General features: G+C 39.2%; 1 annotated feature.

The window, feature by feature from the left end:
- Positions 7,733–7,812: an enhancer, noted in NCBI's record as "active region_20293". NCBI's record gives its function as "activates an Ori minimal core promoter by ATAC-STARR-seq in GM12878 lymphoblastoid cells {active_cell/tissue: GM12878}" and the evidence as "EXISTENCE:reporter gene assay evidence [ECO:0000049][PMID:35858748]".

The following is an 8,895-nucleotide window of genomic DNA, read 5'->3' on the forward strand; positions in this document are numbered from 1 at the left end:
TCTCTTTTAAAATTTCTGCATGGTAAGAAGGTTAAGAATAGTGCTCAGGAGTTCTAGATTCAAGATAGATTTATAAATCTCGATCCAAAGCCCATTTCCAACATTAACTATTACACGACTGCCTGACTGGACAAATTACTGAATCTCTTCAAAACTATTTCCTCATCTACAAAATGGGTTGTTGTAAGGATTAAAAATACCTGTGAAATATTTGAGAAATAGTAAGTATTCAATAAATTGAAGATGCTATTAACTGCCATATTCCAATCATCGTTAAAAACTTTGGGCCGGGCATGGTGGCTCATGCCTGTAATCCTAGCACTTTGGGAGGCCAAGGTGGGCAGATCACGAGGTCAGGAGATCGAGACCATCCTGGCTAACACAGTGAAACCGCATCTCTACTAAAAATACAAAAAATTAGCCGGGCTTGGTGGCGGGCGCCTGTAGTCCCAGCTACTTGGAAGGCTGAGGCAGGAGAATGGTGTGAATCTGGGAGGCAGAGTTTACAGTGAGTCGAGATCACGCCACTGCACTCCAGCCTGGGCGGCAGAGCAAGACTCCGTCTCAAAAAAAAAAACAAAAAAAAACACAAACTTTGCCCAGATTCCTAATTGCTGATCAAGCGTTCTCTGGCTTCCCATAAACCCTGATCATCTGACCTAGAGCAGCTACTGAAGCAGCAGTTACTAAGGCTCTTCTAAAAGCTCTGGCCGCCAACTCCAGAGAGGGCTTCAGTATTAACTCTTTCCATTCCAGACCCAATCCTTCTTAGCTGGTTTTGCAGACTCTCAGTAGGCTAAAGATCACTCCCCTACATCACTGGTTTGTTTTCTGGGTTCCTGGGCTCTTTCCCAGGTTGTCTTAGCTCAGATATGCCTGCCCTAGAAGTAAGCAACTTCTGATGACCCAGGTTAGCATCCTGGAGAAGGGGTAGCTCTTGGTGGGAACCATTGTGTAAGGCAGGATTCATTTGATCCTTTTTCACAGAGGGTCTGGGAAACTGCAAAGGCTCACATATCTTTCTATATTCTGGTAAAGACTATGAGTCTCAAGGGCTCCTATATTGGCCTTGTCTGAGAATCCTTATTACAGTTCCAAGCACAAGCTCAGGTAAGATTTTATATCAGTTAAGGTACAGTCAGGAGACAGAAAGCACCAAAGAAATGTGAATAGAGAGAATGTAATATAAAGAATGGTATAAGGCTATTAACCAAGAAACAGAGAGAATGAAAGAACATTAAGGTATTATGGAGGCAGCAACTGCAGGAAACAGCTATCATCTCTAGGGCTTGGAGAACAAAGTAGTTTGCAATTATTAAAACTTAAAGAAGGAAAAAAAATTACAGGAGGGACATTGACTTCTGGGGGGAGTGGAGGGGTGGCAGCTGACTAGTGCTATTGTCTCAAGGGGAAAAAATAAAACTGATCTTCCAGGTAGTGGAAAATCTGTAAACCAAATTCAGGTACTGCTACAAAAAGGAACTGCTGCTGCCAGAGTGAAGAAGCTTTACTGAGTGACACCCAAAGGAACAAAAAGCAAACAGAAAGGAGTTAAGTCCCTTCTTCTTCCTTTAGTCTCTCAGTCTCCCTCTTAGTACCCCATACTGGCAACATGAATAAGTAACCAGCTGGCAAACCATAAATATGATTGGTAGAGTATCACATTTATGATGGCTTTGGAGGTAAGAGACAATAGCTTAATGATTGACAGAAAGCACCTATCCTTCCCCTTGACCAGAGATTTTCTACACTGGGAAATTGTGGAGGTTCAGAGACATCCACTATGCTCTTCCCTATTTCAAAGGACCCCCAACATTTAGCCCCAGTAGCCCCTGAAGAAGCCAGTGATTTCCCAAGAATATAAAAGACATAAAGGGCCTCCTAAAACTGCCCAGACTAGATCTAGTTCCTAGGTTATAAATCCTATTAAAAATGAGAACAACTAAGAGAAAAGCCAAGTCTCTAATATCCACAAATGCCTAAATACTGTCTCCTATGACCATTACCACTGCTCCACCAAGGTTCCTAAGATGATTGATAGATAGATAGAACAAAGCCAAAAATGCATGATCTTTATTACCATGAGTTGTTTACCCCAATTCCAATGTGGTCCTTGGTGACCAGACTCAACCACATGGAAGACCCCTTTTGCCTAAGAGGCATATAAGCATAGCAAACTCAGAGACCCCCTAGATCCCTTTCCCATAAGCTGACACTCACATCTTAATCCTCTGAATATTACCACTCTAATGGGAAGGAAAAGCAATTCCAAGGAAAAGCACACCAAGAAAATAGTTTCTTCCCACCATCCAAGCTTACACACCAAGGCAGGTAAGCTCTTCCCAGGAGGAAAAAAGAAGCAAAAGAATAGGGTTACCCTTACGCCTCTCACCAAGGCCCAACTCCAGGTAATATGGGCCAATAAATGTCCTTAGACCTGTTTGGAAACAAAGCAAGGAAACAAAAAATGGTTCCAAGATGAGTCATGAGCTCCCAATAGACTAAAATTACCCTGACTATTCTTTTTCCCTAGTATGGCTGTTCTTCCTCAAAATAATATTCCAGTAGCATATCCAAAAAAAACTCAGTCCTTCATAAAGCCACATTTCCCATCCTTGTTCCCAATTTTATAAATAGACTTAAAATCCAAGAGATGACCAGTTTAGCTCATCAAAACTATTGCCTACAGGAACATCTGAGATGGGTTCAAACAAAACATTAAGTTGTCACCAAGGACATATATTACATAAGGCCATATTAGTCCACATTGTGCTGTTATAACAAAATACCACAGACTGGGTAATTTGTAATGAAGAGAAATTTATTGATTTGTGGTTCTAGAGGCTGGGAAGTCCAAGATCAAGGGACCAGCATTTTATGAGGGCCTCCTTCCCTCCATAGCAAAAGGGCAAAGAGAGAATAAGAGAGAGCAGGAGATAACAAAACTCATTCTTTCATAAAGAACCCACTCCCTCAACAATGACATTAATTCATTCATAAAGGCAGAGCTCTCATGGCCAAATTACCTCCCATTAGGACCAACCTCCCAACACTGTTTCATTGAGGATTACCACTAGCACTTCTTAAAATTCAAGCACAGTACACAGGCACCCTCAAAAGATCATTGGAAACTGGAAACATTGATTTTCAAACTAAATATCTCAGTAAATTAATTGACAGAGAAGTGGTTAACAGCGAGACACAATTAATGCCCTGGAACACCAATTATAAGAACAATCTCAAATCACAGAAAAAAAAATGGTAAAGTGAAAGATAAAAGACTTAAAGGATAAATTCAAGATAATAGAAATGCCAATAATAGGAGTTCTAGAAATCACAAATGAAATACAGGAATGAGAAGAAATAATTAAATAAAAAATAAAAGAGAACTTCCTAAGATAAAGGAAAATTCAAAATTTCAGATTAAAATTACATTAAATTACAGACAAATTTGACTGAAAAAGATATTCCCAAGCATATCCTCTTAAAACTGCTGAATTCCAAGGATAACAAATATATTATAAGTTTCTAACAGGAAAATTAATTATCTACTAAGAAGTAGTATAAAACTCCTTATCAACCACATTGGAAACTAGATGTTGGTGTACTATCTGAAAAACTACTGAGAGGAAAGAATTGCAACCCAAGAATTCTGTATCCAACCGTGATATTATTTAACTGTCAGAAGGAAAAAATAATAATTTGTAGATATGCATGTCATTCATATTTCACCAGAATAAAATGCTCAAGAAAGCACTATAATAAAAAACAAACGAATCATAACAGAAAACTCAATATCTAACATAATGAAGAGGAGAGGAAACAATGATGAATATAAAGCTTTGCAGCCCATGTGTGTGTGAGAGAGAGAGAGACAGAGACAGAGATGGAGACAGAGACAGACACAGAGAAAACAATAAATGGATACTGATAAACTATGGGAATGAATGATGTAGGCACTAAATAAGGATTATTAAAATAGAAGGAATAAACATCAGTGAAAATTTTAATAATGTCTAAGAACAAAAAGAACTAAACTATTTCAGCAAAATTTTAAGGTCAGGATGTTGATGTATTCCAAAGTGTCACCTGGGTTGGGGCTGGAATTTATTAGATGATGAAAGTTAACGTATTCTTAAAGTTTTATTTTATTGACATCATGGTAAGAGAATAAGAGGGGGGATACAGGGTCTTGATAAGAGAAATAGGCAAAATGTTTAAAAATTAAATAGTAGAGAAATATGTATATGAGTTTGAATAACACAAAAGAGAAGGGCAAAGTATAGTAGAACTTCCAAATTAACAACAGGAGACAAATTAAATGAATATCAACTTTAACAAACCAGCAAAAACAATAATAATTTTAAAATAATACTCATTTGGATTATTTAAATACTTTAAGTATTCCATTTTAATTTATCTATTGGCTTTTTGGTTATTTTTTTGTTTTATCTTATTTCTAATGGCTGCTCTAGGGATTTTAAGATAAATATCTAACCTTACCATCTCAGTCTAATTAGAGATCATTATGTACCACTTTTTATAAAAGTAGAAGACTCCCAACCATATAGCTCCCTTCACCAAACTTTATGCTATAAATATTATATATATTGCATATTTGCACAGTGAGAAACCCTATGTTTTTGCTTTTTTCAGTCATACATAATTTAAAGACTTTAAGAGAAAAAAAGTCTTTTGTATTCACTGAGAGATTTGCCACTGTTGTTTTTCCTTCATTTCTGAAGATTCTTTCATCCTGAAAAAAACTTTCGTAGACATTTCTGAGAAAGCAGATCTACCCATGATGATTCTGTTAGCTTGCCTTCATCTAAGAAAAGCATCTTCATTTTATCTTCATTCCTGATGGATATTTTCACTGGACATAGAATTTGAGGTTGACAATTCATTTCTTTCAGTATTTAAAGTTTTCGTTTCATTCTCTTCTGTCCTTCAAGGTTTTTGATGAGCAATCTATAATCATTCTAATTATTGCCTCCCTGTATGTAACATGTAATTTTTCTCTAGCTGCTTCCAAGACTTGCTGCTTTATTTTTTCTTACATCACTTTGACTATGCTGTATCTGGGTGCAGCTCTCTGAGTTTGTCTTGTTTAGGTTTCACTGAGCTTCCTGAATGTAAATGTATGGGCTTTTCCCCTCCAGATTTGGAAAGTTTTGCTGTTATTTCTTAAAATGTGTTTTCTCTCACAATCTCTTTTTCTTCTAATTCTAGAACTTCCATAAAATTTATGTTAGAGCTTTTAATATTGCTCCACAGGTCTCAAAGGCTCTGTTCATTTTTTTCAATCTTTTATTTTTTTGTTCCTCAGATTGGACAATTTCTATTGATCTATCTTCAAATTCACTTATTTATTTGTCTTACCCACCATGCTATTATGCTTATCCAGTATATTTTTCTAGTTTACATATTGCATTTTTAGTTCTAAAATTTTCATTTTATTCTTATAATTTTTATTTCTCTTCAGAGAGCTCACATTTTTTTCATTTACTTCAAGCATGTTTCTATTAGTCCATTTTCACACTGCTATAAAGAACTACCTGAGACTGGGTAATTTATAAACAAAAAAGGTTTAATTGATTCACAGTTCCACAAGGCTGGGGATGCCTCAGAAAACTTACAGTCATGACTGAAGGTGAAGGAGAAGCAAGGCCCGTCTTACATGGCAGCAGAGGAGAGAGAAAGAAGGAACTTCCACATACTTTTAAAACATCAGATCTTATGAGAACTCACCCACTATCAAGAGAACAGCATGAGGGAAACTGCCCCCATGATCTAGTCATCCCTCTCTCAATATGTGTGGATGACACCTCGAGATGAGGTTTGAGTGGGGACACAGAGCCAAACCATATCATTCTTCCCCTGGATTCTCCAAAATCTCATGTCCTTCTCATATGTCAAAACACAGTCATGGCTTCCCAACAGTACCCCCCATTCCAGCATTAACTCAAAAGTCCAAGTCCAAAGTCTCATCTGCCTATAAGCCTGTAAAATCAAAAACAAGTTAGCTACTTCCAAAATACCATGGAGGTACAGGCATTGGGTAAATGCTCTCATTCCAAATGGGAGAAATTGGCCAAAACAAAGGGGCTATAGGCCCCATGCAAGACCAAAACCGAGAGAGCAGTTTTAAATCTTAAAGCTCCAATATAATGTCCTTTGACTCCATGTCTCACATCCAGGGCACACTAATGGACGTGGTGGGCTCCCATGGCCTTGGGAAGCTCTGCCCCCATGGCTCTGCAGGGTACAGCCCTCTTGGTTGCTTTCATGGGCTGGCATTGAGTGGCTGTGGCTTCAATGCTGGATCTACCATTCTGAGGTCTATAGGATAGTAGCCCTCCTACAGCCCCACTATGCAGTGCTTCAGTGGGGACTCTGTGTGGGGGCTCCAACTTCACATTTCCTCTCTGCACTGCCCTAGTAAGAGGTTCTCTATGAGGGCTCTGCCCCTGCAGCAGAATTCTGCCTGGACATCCAGGCATTTTCATACATACTCTGAAATCTAGGCGGTGGCTCCCAAGCCTCAACTCTTGTCTTTTGTGCACCTACAGGCCCAATACCATGTGGAAGCCACCAAAGCTGGGGGCTTGCATTCTATGAAGACACCACTAGAGCTGTACCTTGGCCCCTTTTAGCCATGGCTGGAACTGGAGTGGTTGGGACACAGGGCACCATGTCCTGAGGCTGCACGGAGCAGCAGGGCCCTGGGCTCAGCGAATGAAAGCATGTTGCCCTCTTAGGCCTCCAAGCCTGTGACGGGAGGGGCTGCCATGAAGACCTCTGACATGCCCTAGAGACATTTTTCCCATTGTCTTGTCTAATAACATTTGGCTCCTCATTACTTATGCAAATTTTTGCAGCCAGCCTGAATGTCTCCCCAGAAAATGGGTTTTTCATTTCTACTGCATGGCCAGGATGCAAACTTTTTTTTTTTGGTAGAGTCTTGCTCAGTTGCCAGGCTGGAATGCAGTGGCACAATCTCAGCTCACTGCAACCTCTGCCTCCTGGGTTCAAGTGATTCTCCTGCCTCAGCCTCCCGAGTAGCTGGGACTACAGGCACAAACCACCACACGTGGCTAATTTTTGTATTTTTAGTGGAGACAGGGTTTCACGATGTTGGCCAGGCTGGTCTCAATCTCCTGACTTCATGATCTGCCTGCCTCGGCCTCCAAAAGTGCTGAGATTATAGGTGTGAGCCACCTTGCCAGGCCCAGGCTGCAAACTTTTATGCTCTGCTTCCCTTCTAAACATAAGTTCCAATTTCAGATCATCTGCTTTTTGAATGCATATGACTATATTCTGTTAGGAGCACCCAGGCCACACCCTGAATGGTTTGCTGCTTAGAAATTTCTTCCTGTAGATACCCTAAATCATCTCTCTCCAGTTCAAAGTTCCACAGATCCCTAGAGCAGGGACACAATGCCACCAGTTTCATTGCTAAAGCATAGCAAGAGTGACGTTTGCTCCAGTTCCCAATAAGTTTCTCATCTCTATCCAAGACCACTTCAGCCTGGACTTCATTATCCATATCACCATCAGCATTCTGGTCAAAACCATTCAACACATCTCTAGGAAGTTCCAAACTTTCCCTCAGCTTCCTGTCTCCTTCTGAGCCCTCAAAACTGTTCCAACCCCTGCCTGTCACTCAGTTCCAAAGTCGCTTCCACATTTCCAGGTAGATTTATAGCAGTGCCCCAAACTCTTGGTACCAATTTTCTGTATTAGTCCATTTTCACACGCTATAATTAACTACCTGAGACTGGGTTATTTATAAACAAAAGAGGTTCAATTGACTCACAGTTCTGCATGGCTGGGGAGGCCTAAGGACACTTACAATCACGGCAGAAGGCAAAGGGGAAGCAAAGTACATCTTACATGGTGGCAGAGGAGAATGAGTGAGGGAAACTCCACACACATTTAAACCATCAGATCTTGCGAGAACTCACTCACTATCATGGGAACAGCATTGGGGAAACCACCCCTATGATCCAATCACCTCCCACCAGTTCCCTCCTTCAACACATGAGGATTACAATTCAAGATGAGATTTGGGTGAGTACACAGAGCCAAACCATATCAGTGTTTAACTTAACATCATGGAGCATAGATATTAAAAAAAGTTTAAAAACTTTGTCTGATAATTCTAACATCTGAGTGATCTCAGGATTGGTCTCTGTTGATTGCCTTTTCCCCTGAGAATTGATCACATTTTTCTGGTACTTTGTATGTCAAGTATCAGATTGTTATGTCATGTAGACTTTGGGTTCTATTAATAATCCTTTGTGTTGATGAGTATGTAAAACTGGGTCTCTCATATATCTCCAGAATATTAAAAGGTTTAGCCACTTTACAAAACAGTTTTTCAGTATCTTGTAAAGTTAAACATATAACTGCTATGTAACTCAGCCATTTTATTCCTACATATTTGCCCAAGATACATAAAAACACATGTCCATACAAGGACTGCTACATGACTGTTCACAGCAGCTTTCTTCATGAACTCCCAAAACTGGAAAAAAACCATATATTCATCAATTGGCCACTGAATAAACAAATTGTGATATATCCATAAAATGGAATATAAAAGAAATGAACTATACCTACACACAAAATAGATGAGTCTCAAAATCATATGCCCTTTGAAATAAGTCAGGCAAAAAAGAGTGCATACTATATGATTCCACTCATATAAAATTTTATATTTAAACTAATGTATATTAGCAAAAAGCAGAACAGTGTTTGCCTAAAGACAGGAGTGAAGAGAGGAGAGAATATTAAGAAACACAAAGAAACTTTTGCAGGTGTTAGAAATATTTGTTATCTTGATTGAATATGGCTTACAAATGTATACATATATCAAATGTGATCAAACTG

The sequence above is a fragment of the Homo sapiens genome, chromosome 3 (assembly GCF_000001405.40).
Source record: "Homo sapiens chromosome 3, GRCh38.p14 Primary Assembly".
NCBI lineage: Eukaryota > Metazoa > Chordata > Mammalia > Primates > Hominidae > Homo > Homo sapiens.